General features: G+C 42.3%; 1 protein-coding gene across 121 annotated transcripts in view; it reads left to right on the top strand.

The window, feature by feature from the left end:
* Positions 1–21,832, top strand: part of CELF1 (CUGBP Elav-like family member 1) — a 99,603-nt gene that overhangs the window by 65,158 nt on the left and 12,613 nt on the right. For 44 of the 121 annotated variants that reach the window (NM_001376422.1, NM_001376419.1, NM_001376417.1 and 41 more), the window contains 7 exons: positions 11,358–11,545; positions 13,141–13,223; positions 13,584–13,632; positions 15,859–15,993; positions 16,850–16,929; positions 17,526–17,687; positions 21,430–21,505. In NM_001376422.1, coding sequence (NP_001363351.1) covers positions 11,368–11,545; positions 13,141–13,223; positions 13,584–13,632; positions 15,859–15,993; positions 16,850–16,929; positions 17,526–17,687; positions 21,430–21,505 — 763 coding nt within the window. In that variant the 5' untranslated portion in view covers positions 11,358–11,367. Of the gene's footprint in view, positions 1–777; positions 930–5,860; positions 6,052–7,051; positions 7,100–11,357; positions 11,600–13,140; positions 13,224–13,583; positions 13,633–15,858; positions 15,994–16,849; positions 16,930–17,525; positions 17,688–21,429; positions 21,506–21,832 lie in introns of those variants that run through there. The other 77 variants (XM_047426270.1, NM_001376453.1, XM_047426273.1 and 74 more) reach the window with 11 other exon arrangements.

Here is a 21,832-nt window from a genome sequence, read left to right as displayed (position 1 = left end):
TTAGTAAAGAAAATTTCCCTGTGCCATCTAATGAGTGTTACTGAACAAAGGATTTTTGAAGTCTTTCACCCAGATGAGGAACCATTAGATAGCACACCTTGCTCTAACCATTAGATAGCACATCAAGAAAGCAAGGTCAGTTGAGAAATTGATGCTCTTTTGAAAATATCAAGAAAAAAAAAAAAGCAAGGCTGATCAACTGTAGGCAGTTGTATGTGAGTGGTAAGTTTCTGGTGGCCAGTTTATTCAACCAGTTTGCCTCTGGCCTGCTTCTGATGGTCTTATCATTCCTCTTTATGTGACTGTTCTGAGGTTAGTTTGGACCTAAGCACTGTGCTCATTGCTGTCTTTGGCACATGGAAACGTAAGTTTAAAAGCAAGGCTAACAACCCATTTCTTCGGTGAGCCTTTTCTTGCTTCAGGTAGTTTCAGGCTTTGGGGGACCTTAAAAACTGGTTTGCAGGGAGGAGTTTGGAGGATGTGAAACAAGTTTGTGTTTCTTCTGCTCTGTTAGCCACTGCTATCTTCATGGATCTGACACTATTTATCTGACAGTGCACTTAGTACTGCTTCGCCAGGGAAAATTGCACAAAACAAGCCTGGCGCATCAGCACTTTCATTGTGTGCTGGGCTGAGCCTCCCTTCACATGGTCACATCCCCATTTTAATCCAATACTCCCTTTCCCTACCCCTTCCCCAGTCCTGCCTCTTTCTGTGGCACTTATTGCTGGTTTCCCTGAGCTCCTGTTTCCACTTTGTGTTTTTTGTGGGGCCCAGGAAGCTAAAGCTGTGTGTATTTGTGGATCAGACAAGTGCAGCAAGTTAATATCATTGGCTTCTGAAGGGGAGAGTGAGGTGATGGCTGCGTTTAAGTTGGATTTCCTTCCAGAAATGATGGTGGATCATTGCTCTTTGAATTCCAGTCCCGTGTAAGTATTTTTGTTGTCTAATTTTTATCATAAGCAGAGGAACTGGGCTGTTTTCTTTATTTGATGAAATTGGTTCCTTTTTTTAAGAAGGGGAAGAGAAAAATGGGGAAAGAAGCCAAAACAACCTGAATTCTCTCATGCTATTATTTTCAATTGTAGTCTGTCTCATTACTGCTTATTTCCTCAAGGCTTTAAGTTATTTACATAAAGGTGCACTTGATATATGACCAGCAGCATCAGCTCAAGTGTGCTAGCTCCAATTCCTTTAAGCTGTAGTGTTTTCCTATATGATAGATTACAAGGTATTTTTTTTTTAAACTGTAGCATTGTCGCTTTGGGTTGGACATGCAATTTCAAATAATCTTTTGGGAAGGAAGTATTTTATTATTTTAAATTACTGGATTCTTAGTCTCCTATCACAGAGAAGACTGGTAGCTACAGTCAGTGTGTTTAGTATCATCTACAACATTCTGTATTAACATACAAAGTGCAATCCTGGACCTTGATTCCCCCCACCCCCGCCGAGTCTAATTGAAAATACAGCTCAGCACGTGATTTTAGGAACATCAAATTGTCCTTTACCCTCCAAAAAAAGCAAAACTGGATCAATCTTGATTGGCAATTTGCCCAAATAAATTGTGAGAGTGAGAAACCTTGTTAGCTTGCAGTACTGTCCAAGAACTGCTGTTGTACACAGCCAAAATGCTAACCTAACCCTGAGTTGTAGCTGCTAGGAACCTGAATTCTGGACTTTGTAGAGAAGGACACATTTCCAACCCCTGATTTCAGTCACTGTAACCAGGCTTCAGAGTATTTTGGAACCTCCAGCAAATGAGCTTTAGGTTATTCAAAGCCAAGAATATTAAATGGTAGAATATTCTCTAGATAACAAGTGTTAATGCAAGTCTTTGAGGTTAGGCCTCCATGTGCAAATCAGTCTACCCTGGGATTAGATGTAACAGGTGTGGATAATAGTAGATACCAAACAGTTCTTTGTGGAATAGTTGGGGGGCAGGGCTCAAAGTTAGCTCTTTCTCTCTCTGTTTTTGAAACAGGGTCTTGCTTTGTTGCCCAGGCTGGAGTGCAGTGGCACAGTCACAGTTCACTGTAGCCTCAACCTCCTGGGCTCAAGCAGTCCTCTCGCCTCCGCTTCCCAAGTAGCTGGGACCACAGGCATGCACCACCACCTGGCTAATTTTTAAACTTTTTGTAGATATGAGGTCTCCCTGTGTTGCCCAGGCTGGTCTTGAACTCCTGGGCTCAAGCTATCCTGCTGCCTCGGCACCTGGCCTGTCTTACTCTTTTGAAGTGGATCTTATGCCTCCTCTGTAGTCTCCAAAATTACGGTAATTTAAATGTCTTTTTATGAGAGTTCTTTACTACTAAAATTTTATTTTAGCTGTAACAGGTGAAATTAAAGTGAATATCATGATAAAGATTTAATACATAATAAGGATATTTCCATGTCCCAGGATTTATGATCCTTAGAAACAAGGCTGTTGCTCAAATTGTCTTTCATTGTAATACTTCCTGTGCTTTGCCACTGCCTGGTGTTCAACCCAACATTGACACAGCATTCTTCTCAGCCTGCTTTCTAATCTTTTAAGAGATTGGACCCATTCAATATCCCATTAAATCTGGACCATGGACCACTGCATGAAAGTCACCTGGAACTTAAAAATTCAGATGTTTTTATTCTAGAATAGGACCCCCAAGACTCTAGAAACAAGTGTCCAGCATGTTTTTTTGTGCACACTAAAGTTCGAGAGCTAGTGGACTTAACACAGGTCATTCTCAGAGTCAGTCGGGGAATGGATTGTCAACATTTTTTCCAAGTACGTTTGCATCTGTTTTAGTCACCCATCTTCACCAAAACTTTGCAAGGGTGCCTGGGCGTAGGCCATTGCCCCGATTTTAAACATGAGAAACCCAGTTGAGAGAGAGATTGAGGACAAATAGTAATCAGTGTTGGGCCTGAAGTACAAGTTTAAAGGTAAAGGTCTTTTTATTTTTGCCCACTAGACCAGGCTGCCTCTAGTGTCAGTGAACGGTTAGCCAATGTTCTTGATTCTTCATTGATCACTCTTAAGCTTCCACTGGTGCTACTTTGCCTGCATCCTAAGATATGGATATTTTCATGAGTTGTGTCCCAGACTTTTTTCTTTTCATTCTCCCATTGCTTAAGGGGACACTGATGTGCTTCTCTGCTTCTCAGATCTCTGTTCCCCCAAATGTCTTCTGAGGTCTAAGACTTTATTCTAAATACTGCTCATTGATTACTTTTCATCTAGAGACTTCCCCACAAAAAGTAATTCCCATATTGTCTTCACTAGAACCCAAGAGTTGTTAGTTTCTTTCTCTTCCTCTCCTCCTTGGAGTTCAAGTGAACTCCAGATCCTAGTGTATCCTGGCCCAAAATTCCTCAGTATTGGCTGAGACTGGGTGCTAATCTTAGGTACTAGTTTATGCAAGAGCCTTCTGATCTCCATGTTCCCTGCCTTATTTCATCCTCCAGATTATTTTTAGGTATCTTTTAAAAGGACAGATCTGATCATTCACTTAATCTAAAATCTTGGAATAAACTCCAAACCTGTCTATAACATGGAAAGCCCTTCACTGGGTCTCTCTGACCTACCTCTTTATTCTTAGTCAGCTTTCTAGTATGATCTCTTCTCTGTTTCTGTACTCTGCCCACAACTTTCTCAAGTCCTTTTTCTCCCTTCTGATGTTATCCCACTTTTCCCATCTCTCCTCAGTCCTTACCATTTCTTCATCACCCTTAGGCCTCTTTCCTCCATGCCACGTAGCACTTTTTCTAGTTGCCTACTCTATGCAGCTGAAATCTCTGCACACACACCTCCCCCTCCTCCAAATAAAGTAAAATCATATTAGCCACTTCTTTCATAGAACTTTTAAACATTCCTTTATAGGATTTGTAGAGGATTATAGTTGTGCCCTTCTACTTTTTCAGTGACATTGCCTCAAGGGCACATATTGCTCAGTCTTACAGAGCCCTATAGTGTGTAGTATCTGGCACCATAGCAAAAGCTTGGGAATTACAGTTGAATGAATGATATTAAAGATGATTGCAGAGATAAGATCTCCAGATCTTATCTCCATACCTCAGGGAAGAAGGCTGAAAACCTTTAAAAGCATATTGTTAGCTATTCTGTTGTTGGATGGTGACTTTAAATTATTATTGTCTTTATTGTCCTTAGAGATAGCTTTTTCTAGTACCTAACACCCCACATGATAGGAAGATTGACCTTTATCCAAATGAAAATTAACTTTCTCACAGCATAAATGTATTATTCTGTCTTGTTCTCACTAGGGAGCAGCTGGTAAGTAACTCAGGCCAGTGTTTCTGGGCCCTTTTTATTCTCACGCACTTCTGTTCCAGTTTTTCCACAGCACTGTATGTGAGCCAGAGGGACCTTGTATAAGGGTGGGTGGTAGCAGAAGTTTGGAATGCAACAAGTATTTTTGCCTGCTGGGGAGGTGGAGGGATTGGTAAGTATCTGAATTTTTTCTTTTTGTATAATTAAAGGGAAGTCAACAGGTAATGAGAAAGGGGGAGTGAAAAAATAATGAAAGGTTTCAGGAATTATTTTTAAACAGGTCCCGTTTGAAGGTCTTGTTTGGCTGCAAGGAACAGATGTCCACTCAAGCTAGCATATATGAAAGGGCTTTCTTATAAGGACACAGGTGGACTGAACTGTAATCTAATCAGGAGCTCTGCAGCTAGAAGACCTAGAAAGTGTATCTTTCTGACTCCAGGATATATAACTGCTCACTCTACATGTACCTCCTTTCTACTCTTAACTACCTTATAACTTTGGTTGCAACATGACTTTTCTTCGGATCCCTTCTCCCTCCCCTTCACATTGAGACATAATTCACATACTATAAAGTTTACCCTTTAAAGTGAGCAATTCAGTGATTTTTAGTATATTCCAGAGTTGTGTAACCATTTCCACTATTTAATTGCAGAACATTTCATCACCCTTAAAAGAAACCCTGTACCCATTAGCAACCATTCCCCTCTTCTTCTCCATGTCTCCCTTCCCCCATCCCCATTCCTAAGCAACCACCAACCTACTTTCTGTCTGTAGATTTGCCTGTTCTGGGCATTTCATATAAATGGTAACATATACTATGTGGCCTTTTGTGACTGGTTTCTTTTACTTAGCATAATGTTTTCAAGGTCTTTGTTGTAGCATGACCCATTGTCTTTTGACCACAGCACTTTGAGCTTCTCCATTTAACCCATGCTATCTCTAGTTGCAACTTTTCCACTTCTGACTTCACTACTAACTGCCTGTTTCTGTTAACCAGTTCCAGATTCTGTAAAGTAGTGCTGTCAAATAAAACATTCTGTGATGATGAAAATATTCTGTATCGCAGCTGGGGGCAGTGGCTCGTGCCTATAATCCCAGCATTTGGCAGGCTGAGATGGAAGGATCCCTTGAGGCCAGGAGTTCGAGACCAGCCTGGGTTTCACAGCAAGACCCCTGTCTTTACAAAAACAACAACAACTATAAAATGTTCTGTCTCTGTCTCATACAGTAGCCACTAGCCACATGTGGCAAGTGCAACTGAAGAACTTAGTTTTTTAAATTAAGTTTAAATAGCCACTTGTGGCTAGTGGCTATCATCGTATTGCTCAGTGCAGCTATAAAGGAGCTTGATTGGCCAGGCCCGTTTTTGTTTTAAGCATAGGTCAAGGGTCTTAAGTTTCTGGCCAGCCAATGGATCAGCTTGCCATTGGGTTAAGACCCACCACATGGTTTAGTCACTTGGGGCCAGAGGATGGGAAAAATTTGGAATAGAACATTTGTGCTGCCCCTGAGATAGGCCTGGGGTGGGGAAATTTTGAGAGGGGAAAAGAAAGGAGAAAGAGAAGAGAGTGTTCAAGAATTTTGAACAAATACATACTTTGAAAATAACAGCTCTTTTTTGTTCCCTCGTGTGTCTCTTCCCAATTGTATCCCTATTGTATTTTCTCATAGTATGTTTCAGCAGAAATCAAGGTAGACGAAGTAACCTCTTGTCCTGAATTTTCATAGTTGCTCATTCTTAATAATGGCAGCAGAAGCAACAATGAGAGTAACTACCTCCTCAGGTATTACTATTACTGCTTCTGCTGCCAGTAGTAGAAACATAAAAAGAGAGGGGGTAGGTTTCATCCCTTTCCCCTAAAACACTTGCCACTTTCTGATCTTCCTCCTCTTCACATTCTTGCAGGCCCTGATTTGCCTTTCTTCTATCCTGTTCCCAGGTCAGGGCTGGCAGTACTGCCCCAGGAAATAGGAATTTCCATAGACTTGCCTCTTAGGAATGACAGGGACACTATAGATACTTCTCCAGGGAACTGCTGAATTCACTGGTTCTTGAATGGAGATGATAAATATACATAACTCTCCATTGAATGGGGAAGTAAGGTACAAATTTGAGAATGTATTTAATGATACAAAGAGTAAATGGATGATGTGGTAGCTGATGTGTACCCAGATGGCTTTTTTAATACAATGGTTACTTTTAATCATAATGACAACATGCATATTGGAAGTATATGTGGAAGAGGGAGAGTGTTGTTTCTCTTCAGACACAATATCAGAGAAAGTTTGTGACTGCTTATTACATACACACGGGTATACATGCGGGTTGTTGCTATACCTTGGTAGTGCTTCTCAAGCTGTGTTAAGGGACCATATCTCTCCCCACCCCCACTCCCTTGTAAAATGCAATGAGAATGATGTAGGGGAAAAAATAAGGTATGAGCTTGTATTTTACATTTATTATTACTAGACTGAACAAATACAAAATTGCTCAGTCTAATTTCTGTAAAAATTTCCAAAGAGTTAAGTTTGAAGATTGCCCCTGGTCCTTAGGCCACACCTTGTGTGTGTGCACGCCCTTTTTTTTTTTTTTTTTTTTTTCTTTTTGAGATGGAGTCTTGCTCTGTCGCCCAGGCTGGAGTACAATGGCACGATCTCGGCTCACTGTAGTCTCCGCCTCCCGGGTTCAAGTGATTCTCCTGCTTCAGCCTCCTGAGTAGCTGGGACTACAGGTGTGTGCCACTACACCCAGCTAATTTTTTTTTTTTTTTTTTTAAGTAGGGACGGGGTTTCACCGTGTTGTTCAGGCTGGTCTCAAACTCCTGACCTCAGGTGAGTCACTGTCCCCAGCCTCTTGGGCCACAGTTTGAACAGTGCTACTCTATGGGAGTCTTCTGGCTATTGAATTGGTATATAAACAGGGAAGGGGAGGTTCATGGTGTAGGTAGACCTGGAAAAATAGAGAAGGATTTGGAGAGCTAAAGAAGAGCAAAGGATGACATTTCTCTAGAATCTTGAGTCCCTGCTAAACTTTTGGGTAAACTGTAATCTACATATATTGACTTGTGTTTATGCTTTAGCACTAAACAGGATGCAAAAGTTCAGAATTGGCACACAAACAACAGAGGGAAGGGGCAATCTGGGAGCAGTTGCCTCCGTAATACAGATTGATAAAACTGCTTTTCAGAAATAGCTGTCAGCTTCCTTATCAAAATGTATTCTGGGCACCATTGGGGTTCTTTGTTAACCCACTCTAGAATAGAAATAGAATGAAAGATTAGCAACATTCTAGTAAAATGCTATTACAACTGGTAATTAAAGTTGTCGGGACAGGTTGTAGGGAGCCAGTGTTTCACTAGTGATAGGGCTGCCTTTTTTTTCTGGAGACAAGATCTCACTCTGCCACCCAGGCTGGAGTGCAGTGGCCCCGTCTCAGCTCACTGCAACCTCCACCTCCCAGGTTCAAGCGATTCTTGTGCCTTAGCCTCCCGAGTAGCTGGGATTACAGGTGCACGCCACCACACCCAGCTAATTGCTTTGTATTTTTTGGTAGAGACGGAGTTTACCATGTTGGCCAGGGTGGTCTCGAACTCCTGACCTCAAGTGATCTGCCTGCCTCGGCCTCCCACAGTTGCTAGGATTACAGGCATGAGCCACCATGCCTGGCCATAGGGCTTTTTTTCATCATGGTAGCTGATTTCTGTTGGAACATTAGGATTAAGCATTTAAAAGCAGTCACATTATGTTTTTGCCATGACCTGCCACACATTTTAAATTAACAGATTACAGGAAAACCAGTAAAATGATGCCATCTGAAACACTCAAAAGAAAATAGGCCAGGCGCAGTAGTTCCATGCCTATAATCCCAGCACTTTGGGAGGCTGAGGTGGGAGAATCGTTTGAGCCCAGGAGTTTCAGACCAGCCCTTGCAACATAGTGAGACCCTCTCTCTACAAAAAAATGTTAAAAACTAGCCAGATGTGGTGGCGCACACCCGTAGTTCCATCTACTGGGATTGCTGAGGTAGGAGAATCGCTTGAGCCTGGGAGGTCGAGGCTGCAGTTAGCTGTGGTCATGCCACTGCACTCCAGCCTGGGCAACAGAGCGAGACCATGTCTTTAAAAGAAAAAGGCGTATTAATCCTGTGGCAATTAAATAATCATAGGAGATAATAGCTGCTCTTAAATTTGGGTGCTGTTTTTGTGCATAGCACTCATTTTATCAGAGCTAATTGGTTAAATGGGGACTGTTGAAACTTAAGGAATTTCTCCTTTCACACATTTGAGTGCTTACTTTGAACCGGATACTATACCCAGTGTGTTTACAAGAATGAACAGGAAATAAAATGGTTTCTGCCTGCAAGGAGCTGTCAGTTTAATTGGGAAGAGGTGGATACAGCCCGATTATGTTCAAAGGTGTTAAGCATAATTTTAATGCTAAAATTTCCACAACGAAGGTGGAAATTTAGTACTGTTGGAGTCCTAGGATTGTAGCTGATTAGTTAACCTGGAAGAATATGGGGAGCCTTCACAGATATAGGGTTAGGAATTGGTCTATATTCCATTTGTCTTACAGCTTTTGAATTTAGATAGTGCTAGAGTCATCAAAGGTGATGTGAGAATAACCCCTGTAAGTGTTGAATTATAAAAGATTCAAGGCTGGGTGCGGTGGCTCAGGCCTGTAATCCCAGCACTTGGGAGGCCAAGGCAGGTGGATCACTTGAGCTCAGTTCAAGACCAGCCTGGCCAACATGGCTAAACCCCAGCTCTACTAAAAATACAAAAATTAGCCAGGCATGGTGGCGCATACCTGTAATCCCAGCTACTCAGGAGGCTGAGGCATGAGAATCACTTGAACCTGGGAGGTGGAGGTTGCAGTGAGCTGAGATTACGCCACTGCACTCCAGCCTGGGCAACAGAGAGAATCTGTCTCAAATAAAAAATAAAGAAATAGGCTGGGCACGGTGGCTCATCCCTGTAATCCCAGCACTTTTGGAAGGCTGAGGCAGGCAGATCACCTGAGGTCAGGAGTTTGTGACCAGCCTGGCCAACATGGCAAAGCCCCATCTCTACTAAAAATACAAAAATTAGCTGGGCATGGTGACACGCGCCTGTAATCCCAGCTACTTGGGAGGCTAAGGCAGGAAAATCACTTGAACCTAGGAGGCAGAGGTTGCAGTGAGCCGAGATGGCACCATTGCACTCCAGCCCGGGCGACAGAGCGAGACTCCATTTCAAAAAAAAAAAAAAGAAAGAAAATATATAGTAATTAAAAGAAGGTGAGCTACTTTCATAGATTCAGCATTCTTAAGGATCTTCAGACACTATTCAGAAGATAGCAATGGTGGAAAAATGATTTTTTTGTTGTTGTTTAAAGAGAACTAGCACATTGGCTGGGTGCAGTGCTTCACGCCTGTAATCCAGCACTTTGGGAGACCGAGGTGGGCAGATCACCTGAGGTCAGGAGTTTGAGACCAGCCTGACCAATATGGTGAAACCCCATCTCTACTAAAAATACAAAATTAACCACGCATGGTGGTGCATGCCTTCAATCCTAGCTACTTGGGAGGCTGAGGCAGGAGAATTGCTTGAACCTGGGAGGAGGAGGTTGCAGAGAGCTGAGATCATGCCATTGCACTCCAGCCTGGGCAATAAGAGTGAAAGTCAGCCTCAAAAAAAAAAAAAAAAAACTAGCATGTTGTTTGGGATTGGATATTAGAACGTGGCAATTTTTGTATATGATTTTTAGATTAAGCAGATACTAACAGAAAAGCTAATAGTGCTAGATATTGGGAATTTAAGTTATTAATGGTTTAGATAAATGTTCAGAGTTAAATTTAGAAACAAATAGGACGAAGGACTTTGAAGTAGATGGTATGAGGCCAGGCGTGGTGGCTCACACCTGTAATCCCAGCACTTTAGGAGGCCGAGGCGGGTGGATCACCTGAGGTCAGTTCGAGACTAGCCTGGCCAACATGGTGAAAGCCCGTCTCTACTAAAAATACAAAAATTAGCTGGGCATGGTAGCAGACACCTGTAATCCCAGCCACTTGGGAGGCTGAGGCAGGAGAATCTCTTGAACCTGGGAAGTGGAGATTGCCATGAGCTGAGATCAGGCCATTACACTCCAGCCTGGGCAACAAGAGTGAAATTCCGTCTCAAAAAAAAAAAAAAAAAAAACAAGATGGTATGTTCTGAGTGGAAACATCTATAGTGTAAGAATTCACCTAGGTTGTTTACAGTGGCAAGATAGGAATGAAGGTATTAAAATAGCTGATTATCCTTCAGGTTCTAAAGGTAATAAAACTGAAATAGGAGAATTACAAGTACAATGTGATAGGACTAGAGAAACTTGGGATCGTTAAAATGGTTGCCCTCAGTAAGGGAATCTTAACTGGTCTTAGAGTAATAGCAGTAAATTGGATAACTCAGAAACAGAAAATCTAAAATGATGGTAACATTGTTTATGTTCATCGCACAATCATCTGGAAATATAAGAGGTGGAGCTCTGTTTTGGTCTGGAGACCTAACTCGAGCATTATGATTATACATGAGTCAGCTACATTCAAAGGCCAGCATTCTAGTCCTTAGTTTAATCCTTGAAAATCAAGTGCTTCTTTTCTAACTTCTACTGAAAGGAAACTTCACCTGTCATTGTATACATTGAAGTGTTCTGAATCTTATTTGTAATCAATAGTCCTTTGTTATTTTGTGGGCCTTTTTTTAAGTGTTTGTTTTGTTAACTATGCTTAAAAGTTATTAAAACTTGATCTTGTTTTGGGAGTTTTACCCTTTAAGTTCCTCCTCTAGCATGGTAATTCTCATGCTAGATAAGAAATGTACACTGTCAGTTCCCTGGTAACAGCTGGGATGTCCCAATCAGAATGGTGACTTTAGTTTGGCATCTGATGGAATGGGTGGCCATGGTGAGGGAGAACCAGGGAACTCTGGTAAACTGAATGGAAGTAGTGAAAGAAGTAGATTTTTTTTCCCTTACGTTCTCAGAACTAGTTAAGATCATTAAAGAAAAGAAAATTTCCTCTGGAAAGCAACATTATTACATAATAGAAGTTTCATTTTATCTCACACAGCTCAAAGAAAATGAACGGCACCCTGGACCACCCAGACCAACCAGATCTTGATGCTATCAAGATGTTTGTGGGCCAGGTTCCAAGGACCTGGTCTGAAAAGGACTTGCGGGAACTCTTCGAACAGTATGGTGCTGTGTATGAAATCAACGTCCTAAGGGATAGGAGCCAAAACCCGCCTCAGAGCAAAGGTTAGGGCTTTGGGTTTTGGTTTATCTTATTTTTTCCACTGACTCTCAGAGCAGGTGAGGGCTTTGGGTTTTTAACAGGATACAAAAAATTGGATTTTTATATGTAATTTCTTTCATGTGCATTCTCTCTGTCATTGCCAGAATACTCCTGTCTGTCTGTCTATTGGAAAAAATCTGTCCTTTTATAGTAGTAATATCTTGTAATCCAAACATATTTAATGGCTTTAAAAAGTTAAGGTGTTAGCATGAGGATAATTTGTAAATTGGGTCTTGGGCAGTCCTTTGTGAGGGTTCTAAATTTAAGAGACAGACTCACGTGAGTGTCTTATTTGACCTTGGGAACAGATAACAAAGATAAAATTGAAGTTAAACCACATAAAGTTTTCTTTAGTGTTTGGGCTAGCATAAGCTGAAGGAGAAAGACTGTCCACATACCCATTGGTTTCTTGTTAGTATTACAGAGGCCTTGCGGGATAGTTTATCAAATAGAAAGGATTTGTTTAGGCAGCTTGTTTGCTGTTGCCACAAAGTGAACAGGAGAGGAAAGGCGGAGCTGCTTCCAGAATTGCCTAGCAGAGTGGAAGTTTCACAAGACTGATGGTAGATAGGTATTAACTTTGCCCCGTATATACACACAGACATGTTCTTATTTTCCATTTTACCAGTTTTCAAATAATTTTCTGTGAAAGCTGTCCAACAGTGCAAATGTAAGCAAGCATGATTATCATATTGAAACTAGCTTAATAGCAGAGGATCTAGAAGCAGAGGAATTACTTTCTCTTTTTGGCATGGTTAACTAAAAATATAAAGTATAATAGTTTCTGAACATGACTGGCAATATAACCTTCAGTAATTTGTAGTTCTAACTGCTGCAGCATGATTTAAAAAAAAATCTATATTGTATCTCATGAGAATATGGGAGTGTCAGAACATTTAAGCCCAAGATTTACAAGATATACTTCCTCTCCTACTACCCAAAATAAAGATACAAAGCACAAAATCTACAGATCTGAGGCAGCACCATGTGCTTTTAGAAGCTTAATTATATTTGATGAGAACCAAGAGTCCAAAAAAAGATGTTAAGAGGTGCTTGCTCTTAAGTCATTTTATAATTTAATAAGTGATAATTATGTTTGAGGCATATGGTAGAATCTGGCTACGAAGTAGGGAGTGGTTTATTCTGAGAGAGCAGGGAAAGAAAGAGTTCCTGGTAGACTACAGGCTGCAAAAGTATAGAGCCCCATCTGTCTTCTTGTCTCATATACCACCTGGTGTTCCAAGTAGGGTAGGTTGAGTCAAATGGCACATGACCTTTCTTTATGAGAAGTCGTATTTTCCAGAGAAGTTACATGAGCAGCTAAATAAGACTTATAGTGTAACTAACTAGGAGGAGACTAAAACAATAAAGTGTATAGAAAATAATCTCTTATTCCTCTGCTAGATATTCTATTCGTTCTTTTCCACTACCCTCCCCCTCTCACTAATTTTAATAAACCCAGCCCTCTTTTAAGATCTGATCTGTCAGTGGAGGAAGGATTGCTCTAGGAATTCTCTGCTTTCCAAAGTTTGATTTTATGAAATCTTATTTATTGCAGGGTGCTGTTTTGTTACATTTTACACCCGTAAAGCTGCATTAGAAGCTCAGAATGCTCTTCACAACATGAAAGTCCTCCCAGGGGTAAGAAAGCTCCCACTAGTAAATGGAAATGTGGTAACTTTGATATGTGGGATATACTTACACATATCAGACACACACTGAAAACCATTTTGGGGAAAAGGTAACTGCTGCAGGAATTGATGTAAAGGAAGACATAAAGGGAGCAGTTCAGAGATTACCTGACATTAGTTCTCTCTCAGTCAAGAGTCTTGTGTATTTTGACTTCTTGACTCACATTCTGTTTTCTGGGGAAAGATCATGAAGCAGACATGAGTTCAGAGAGAACTCTTTAAAGCTCTAGTTCTGGTATTTTAGAGTCCATATGTATTTTTGAATACCATCAATATATACAGTGATAATAATCATATTTTTCCTTTTCAGATGCATCACCCTATACAGATGAAACCTGCTGACAGTGAGAAGAACAATGGTAAGCAAATGTATACAATCTTCCCCTTAAGATTTCTGCCTAGGCCAGGCACGGTGGCTCACACCTGTAATCCCAGCACTTTGGGAGGCCAAGACAGATGGATTGCTTGAGGCCGGAGTTCGAGCCAGTCTGGCCAACATGGTGAAACCCCGTCTCTACTAAAAATACAAACATTAGCTGGGTATGGTTGTGCATGCCTGTAATCCCAGCTACTCAGGAGGCTGAGGCATGAGAATCTCTTGAACCCGGGAGGCGGAGGTTGCAATGAGCTAAGATCATGCCAGTGTACTCCCGCCCAGGCAACAGAGTGAGACTCTGTCTCAAAAAAAAAAAAGATTTCTGCCTAGTTTGTTTGCTGTTCTTAGGTTATCTGAATTGAATTGTGCTTTAAGTAATCCGTTGTCTAAGTTGTCTCAGTTTTTTCTTTAAAAGTATGATGAAGAACAGAGCTGACAGAGAAATATTATAAGAACATTGTAGAATGAACTGGAATATACTTGGTCAGTATAATTTCTTTTGGACAGGAATGAGGGGGCAAAATGAACAAATTAGGAAGGAGAACTTAATTCTCGAATTTTTTTTTTTTTTTGAGATGGAGTCTCACTCTGTTGCCTGGGCGGGAGTACACTGGCATGATCTTAGCTCATTGCAACCTCCGCCTCCCGGGTTCACTGCATTCTCCTGCCTCAGCCTCCCGAGTAGCTGGGACTACAGGTGCCTGCCACCACGCCCGGCTAATTTTTTGTATTTTTAGTAGAGACGGGGTTTCACTGTGTTAGCCAGGATGGTCTCGATCTCCTGACCTTGTGATCCGCCCGCCTCGGCCTCCCAAAGTGCTGGGATTACAGGCGTGAGCCACCACGCCTGGCCTTAATTCTCAAGAAGATAGTCAGGACCAGGTGAGGTGGCTCATGCTTGTAATCCCAGCACTTTGGGAGCGCACGGCGGGCGGATCACCCGGCCAACATGGTGAAACCCTGTCTCTACTAAAAATACAAAAATTAGCTGAGTGTGGTGGTGCATGCCTGTAATCCCAGCTACTCAGGAGGCTGAGACAGGAGAATCGCTTGGACCCAGGAGACGGTGGTTGCAGTATGCTGAGATCGTGCCACTGCACTCCAGCCTGGGTGACAGAGCAAGACTCTGTCTCAAAAAAAAAAAAAATTCAGAAAAGTAGACAGTTACATTCACTGAAAGGTGTATTCTCTTCCACTTGTCATATCAAGTGTGAAAACCTCTTCTTTCTTTAGTAGTATTGCCAGTAAGAGCAAACAATGCTGGCTGGGCACAGTGGCGCACACCTGTAATCACAGCACTTTAAGAGGCTGAGGCCGGAGGATTGCGTAAGCCCAGGAGTTTGAGACCAGCCTTGGCAATAAGAGTGAAACCTCTCTGCAAAAAATTAGCTGGGTGTGGTGGTACATACCTGTGGTCCCAGCTATTCGGGAAGCTGAGGTGGGAAGATTGCTTAAACCCGGCAGGTCAAGGCTGTAGTGAGCCATGATCATGCCACCGCACTTCAGCCTGGGTGACAGCGAGACTCTTGTCTCAAAAAGAGGAAACAATACAAAGGACTAGGGAAGATGCCAAGTACTTCACATTTAATAGCAACTGCTACCCTTTGAAGTAAACCTGATTATTCCTATTAGTTAGATGAGGAAACAGGCACAGAATGGTTGAGTAACTTTCACAAGATTACAAAGCTACCATATTTCATCTAAATGCTTCTAATTATAATTTTAAGATAACATTGGTTATAAAAAGAGACGTGAAGCCGGGCGTGGTGGGTCACACCTGTAATCCCAGCACTTTGGGAGGCCGAGGCGGGTGGATCACCTGAGGTCGAGAGTTCAAGAACAGCCTGACCAACATGGAGAAACCCCATCTCTACTAAAAATACAAAATTAGCCAGGCATTTTGGCGCATGCCTGTAATCCCAGCTACTCAGGAGGCTGAGGCAGGAGAATCACTTGAATCCGGGAGGCGGAGCTTGCGGTGAGCCGAGATCGCGCCATTACACTCCAGCCTGGGCAACAAGAGCGAAACTCCATCTCAAAAACAAGAAAAAAAGAGATGTGAAAAATACAAAAAACAAATGTGTGTCTTTGAATCTGTAAAATATGGTACAGAGCCAGGATTCAAACCCAGGCGGTCTGGCTCCCAAATCTGTGCCACATTGCCTCTTTAAGTAGTAATATTCAAGTCTTTTCTGTTTTACTCTCTTAGCAGTGGAAGACAGGAAGCTGTTTATTGGTATGATTTCCAAGAAGTGCACTGAAAATGACATCCGAGTCATGTTCTCTTCGTTTGGACAGATTGAAGAATGCCGGATATTGCGGGGACCTGATGGCCTGAGCCGAGGTAGGTAGTTTTAGCTTTTAAATAATCTTTTGGTTTTTTGTTTTGGTTTGGTTTGGGGTTTTTTTTTTTTTGGAGACAAGGTCTTGCTCTCTCTCACCCAGGCTGGAGTGCAGTGGTGCCTTCACAACTCACTGCAGCCTGAACCTCCCAGGATCAGCCTCCTGAGTAGCTGGGACCACAGGCATGCATCATGACACCCAGCTAATTTTTAAATTTTTTATAGAGAAAAGGTCTCCCTGTGTTGCCCAGGCTGGTCTTGAACTCCTGGACTCAAACGATCCTGTCATCTTGGCCTCCCAAAGTGCCAGGATTGTAGGTGTGAGCCACTGCACCGGGCTTGGAATCTTTTTAATTTGACCGGTGGAAACTAGCAACAGTGATTCCCTAGCCAATATGGCCCAGTCAAGATAAAGAGGTTGGGCCTGCTGCTTCCTGCTGTATATCTATGTCCTGTCTTGACTCCTCCTATCAGTTCATTCTTTTTGTCTCCCAGCCCCTCTAAGGAGTCTACATTCTATATTTCATTGTCATGTATTAAAATTTTCTCTTTTGGTGCTTTGCAAGATCCTTGATGCCAAAATGGAAATACTTTCTTCTTCCATTTTCTTTTATTTTCAAGAGGAACTAGAGGATATGAGTCCTCCTTTCTCCTGTCAAGCATTTTTTTTTTCTGTCAGTGGTTCTGTTTTTTCATTATAGCACATATCACCCTGTTGCAACATACCAGCACATGATTCCCTGAAAACAGGGACTGTGTCTGTATTGCTAGCATGATAGTCAGCACATAGTAGGTGCTCAGTTAATGTTTGTCAGAGAAATAAATGAATGCATGAGTTACTGACTCTTCTCTTACCAGGTTGTGCATTTGTGACTTTTACAACAAGAGCCATGGCACAGACGGCTATCAAGGCAATGCACCAAGCACAGACCATGGAGGTAGGGAGCAGATAGGTGATGGGGAAAATTCCTCAGCTTGGGAATGCTGGGACAGTTGGCCATTAAAGTCCAGCAGCATGTGCAGCATCTGATTGCCCAGAAGGTTAAACAGCCAACATCTTAAAGTTAAAAACCACTGATTTCTTTAAAATTAACGTATTGGAAATGCTCTCCCTACCCCTTTTTTTGAGATGGGGTCTTACTTTGTCACCTGGGCTGGAGTGCAGTGGGAATATCATGGCTCACTGCAGCCCCAACCACCCAGGCTCAAGTGATCCCCCCTACCTCTGCCACTCAAGTAGCTGGGACTACAGGTGCACACCAGCACGCCCAGTTAATTTTTGTATTTTTTTTTAATAGCGACCGTTTTGCCATGTTGCCCAGGCTGGTCTAAAATTCCTGGGCTCAAGTGATCCACCCGCCTCAGCCTCCCAAAGTGTTGGGATTACAGTCTCTTCTCTCTTGTGTCTATCATGAGGAGAATCATTTGGCAGTGAATGAAATTAGAATGTAACCTGCATGTCATCCAAAAGGAAGATTTTTTTTCTTCTTTTCAGATGGAGGAATTTGACCCTTTCGTTATGGTCTTTTCACAGGGTTGCTCATCACCCATGGTGGTAAAATTTGCTGATACACAGAAGGACAAAGAACAGAAGAGAATGGCCCAGCAGCTCCAGCAGCAGATGCAGCAAATCAGCGCAGCATCTGTGTGGGGAAACCTTGCTGGTCTAAATACTCTTGGACCCCAGTATTTAGCAGTGAGTCTTTGTGGTTTGCTTTCTGCAGACTGTGCAAGCTCCCAGCTGTTCCTTCTTCTGCTGTCCCTAGCCAACAAACACAGTGGCATTTACAACTTTTGGCATATAGAAATTATATGTAAAAATTCAGGTAGTACTATTTCTTTTAGTCCTGTTAGTCTCTTTCTCTCTCTATATATATGTATCTCTGGACATGCATCTCTGGTTATATCTTGAGGCTTTTGCTGCAACTAAAGTGAATTCCTGGTTTCCCGTTTTAAAGATTTAGAAACATCTTGTGTCCTTGCCTCCAAGAAAGAAATTCCTGAGGGAATCTTAACTACCAGTGTCTTTCTCCATATCTCTTTCTACCAGATGTAGAGGGCATCATTAAAATCCTTATTGAGTCTTTCCTAAAGAGTATGATAAATGTTTCTTTCAGCGGACTTGAGAGATCAAGAGATTTTTTTTCTTTTTTTGCTTTATTTATTTATTTATTTATTTATTTTTTGAGACGGAGTCTCACTCACTCTGTCACCCAGGCTAGAGTGCAGTGGCACAATCTTGGCTTACTGCAACCTCCACCTCGGGTTCAAGTGATTCTCCTGCCTCAACTTCCCAAGTAGCTGGGACTACAGACACACACCATCACACCCAGCTAATTTTTGTATTTCTAGTAGGGATGGGCTTTCACTGTGTTGGCCAGGCTGGTCTCGAACTCACGACCTCAGGTGATCCACCTGTCTTGGCCTCCCAAAGTGCTGGGTTTACAGGTGTGAGCCACTGCGCCTGGCGGAGATCAAGAGATTAACATGAACATTTTTAAATGAGCATTACAGGTGTATATTCAAGTTTACTACATTGTAAATAGACTTCCTTTAATTTGATCTCTCTGTTGTCGTGAGCCAAAAGAAGGTTGTCTAGTCCAAAAGAAGGTCTCGCCCCAATTTGTGATTTAGATTTACTAGGTCTGCAGTGTATATGTTACAGGGGATTATTAATGGAAAAGAATTGGGCCAGCACAAGACAGTTAAAACCACCCATTTGTGAGTCAAAGAGGAAAAAGGTCATCTTAGGCTATTAATGGTGAAACCACTAGATTTGTATGGATGATACAAAAATATTCACATAGAAATAGCTAGTATAGTCATTTATTCCTCATCATTTCAAGTATTATTCTGTATGGAAACAGACAAAAGGCACTGATTTCTGTCTCCCAGTACTGAATTTTGGTTTAGTTCCAGTGGTTTTCATATTTCTAATATCTTATAAGAAATCCCAGTTTAGGCCGGGCGCTGTGACTCACGCCTGTAATCCCAACACTTTGGGAGGCTGAGGTGAGTGGATCGCCTGAGGTTGGGAGTTTGAGACCAGCCTGGCCAGCATGGTGAAACCCTGTCTATACTAAAAATACAAAAAAATTACATGGGTGTGGTGGCAGGTGCCTGTAATCCCAGCTGCTCGGGAAGCTGAGGCAGGAGAATGGCTTGAACCTGGGAGGCGGAGGTTGCACTGAGCGGAGGTTGCAGTGAGCCAAGATCGCACCATTGCACTCCAGCCTGGGCAATAGAGCGAGACTCTGTCTCACAAAAAAAAAAAAAAAAAAAAAAAAAGAAGAAGAAAAAAAAAAAAAACCCCAGTTTATCCTAGCTAGTATTTCTCTGAAGTTTTTTTAAAAAAATATAAAGAGTTGGGGTTGTTTTGTTTTGTTTTGTTTTGAAGCCTCGCTCTGTTGCCCAGGTTGGAAAACAGTGGCGCAATCTCTGCTCACTGCAACCTCCAACTGCAAGCAGCTGGGATTACAGTCATGTGCCACCACGCCTGGCTAATTTTTGTAGTTTTAGTAGAGACAGGGTTTTGCTTATGTGAGCCAGGCTGGTCTCAAACTCCCGACCTCAAGTGATTTGCCTACCTTGCCCTCCCAAAGTTCTGGGATTACAGGCGTGAACCACTGGGTCCGGTTATATTTCAACAGAAAAAATTGTTTCTTAGTGCTGAAACATTGCTTATATGTTCAGAAAATTCAGGGAGGTTTTAGTCATCTGCAGAAATGATAATGCTTTGAAAATGGTCTACATGCTATGCATTTGCTTTTCTTAGAGACTTTTGGAGCCCCCCTTTAGGGAAGGTTAACCTTTTTGTTGTCATTGCCACTACCAGCAAGTACATGATGGCATGTGTTGAGAGCTGTGTTCTCTTTGTTTTGGTTAGACATGATTCCTGCCCTAAGAGCTAATCTCATTTGGAGGGAAATGAAGGGACCAAGTACAGTATTCACCGTCCACCAGTTAGGACTGAACACATAGCCCAAGGTGTTTAAGAAGAAAAAGGCCAGGCGCGGTGGCTTATGCCTGTAATCCCAGCATTTTGGGAAGCCGAGGCAGGCAAATCACCTGAGGTTAGGAGTTTGAGACCAGCCTGACCAACATGGTGAAACCCCGTCTCTACTAAAAATACAAAAATTAGCTGGGTGTGATGGTACACACCTGTGGTCCCAGCTACTCGGGAGGCTGAGGCAGGAGAATCGCTTGAACCTGGAAGGCGGAGGTTGCAGTGAGCTGAGATCACCATTGTACTCCAGCCTGGCGACAGAGCGAGACTCCGTCTCAAAAAAAAAAAAAAAAAAGTGTAGACGTGGGTGCTAGTGGACTGTGTGATAGTACATCATCATTAATTATGAGGTTCTTTCTGGACTATGTGGACTTGAGTTAGCCAGGCTCTACTGTCCTGGAGGAGTTGGTTTTTATCTTTTTATCCTTTGAGAAGCGGGGGGAAAGGGTGTATAGGTGCATTTTTTCCCCCATTCTGTTCCTGGAGGTTTGTAGACCTCCTGAAACTTATCCATGGTCTCTAGCCTGGAAGGATTTGCGGCGACAGAGAAACCAGGTCAGATGTTTATAGGAATGGGAAACAGGTTGAATAAAAGGATCCTGTACAAGAATACCAATTTTCCATAAACAATACTAATTGGGTTTAGTTGGAGCAAAAGTTTTCAGCAAGCTGGTTAGATGAAGGTTGTGGTTTGCCAATATACAAAGTAAACTAATGCCACAAACTCAGGGACAGGCCCTCTTACTTTATTTGTCATGGGACCATCATTGAAGGAGAACGTACTCTGAACCTGGTATAGACTAATCCATCAGTCATTTGGTCATCTGCAACAGGGAAGACCAGTTTGGAGGGGAGGAAGTAAATAAGGTTGGATAGATGTGTAGCTGGAGTGATTATTAGTCATGTGGTCCATTGTGACCAATAAAGGGTAACTCCAAGAAATACTATGAAATGTTTAGATTTGATATTTAAAATAGTTGTGTGAAGTAGAAATTGAGTATCCAGATGGAAACAATCTGCAGAGTGAGATGTGTGGACCTAACTAAGGAGAACTTGGGAGAGGGTAGCTGGAAATGGCATTCATTCATTCGCAGACAATAATCACAGTTGACTGCGTAGCTCCTCAAGTTTAGCTTATTATCCTGCTGTAGTTCTGTCCTTTGCTGTGCTGAATTCTGCTGCCCAGGGACTTGAGCTTGGCTCAGTATTCAGTGAACATACTATCTTCTGGGCCAGTGCTTTAGCTGTGTTTTTTTTTTGTCCTGTGCTGTCATAAGCCTCATGTTTCTGTTGTGTTGGCTTGGGTTCTTGTCTTTGACTTTCTTCTCTCTGGGGGCCTCTGCACTCTCGCTTTGCTGTGCTGTAGAGTTATCCCAGATGCAGAACCAGCCCTCACTCTCACTCTTGTTCTGTTTTTTGGTGTAATGTCTAGCTTTATTTGCAGCTCCTTCAGCAGACTGCCTCCTCTGGGAACCTCAACACCCTGAGCAGCCTCCACCCAATGGGAGGTAAGTGTTTCACTGCTGCAGAGGAGCAGCAGCACCCAGGCCAGCAGACCCAGCTAACAACAGTCTTGGGAGTTTGGCATCGTTTCTGTGAAAACATTTTTTTGCTTATTATGTAAACCTGACCTAGGATAAACATCCCAGGACTCAATTTTCTTGTCTCTATACAGTGGCTCTATGGCTAGTTGATGCCACATTGCTCTGACGTTATCTGGTGCCTCCTAACCTTTTAGGTCACTGTTGAAGAAGAATATGGAAAAGGGCTGTTTAGCTCCTATAGACTGAGGCTGTTCTCTGATAAGGGGAAAAAATTGCAAGAACTCTTTATTT

This window comes from Homo sapiens, chromosome 11, assembly GCF_000001405.40.
Source record: "Homo sapiens chromosome 11, GRCh38.p14 Primary Assembly".
In the NCBI taxonomy this organism is placed as follows: domain Eukaryota; kingdom Metazoa; phylum Chordata; class Mammalia; order Primates; family Hominidae; genus Homo; species Homo sapiens.
The sequence above is the reverse complement of the archived record's forward strand: the minus strand, read 5'-3'. Positions and strand labels throughout refer to the sequence as shown.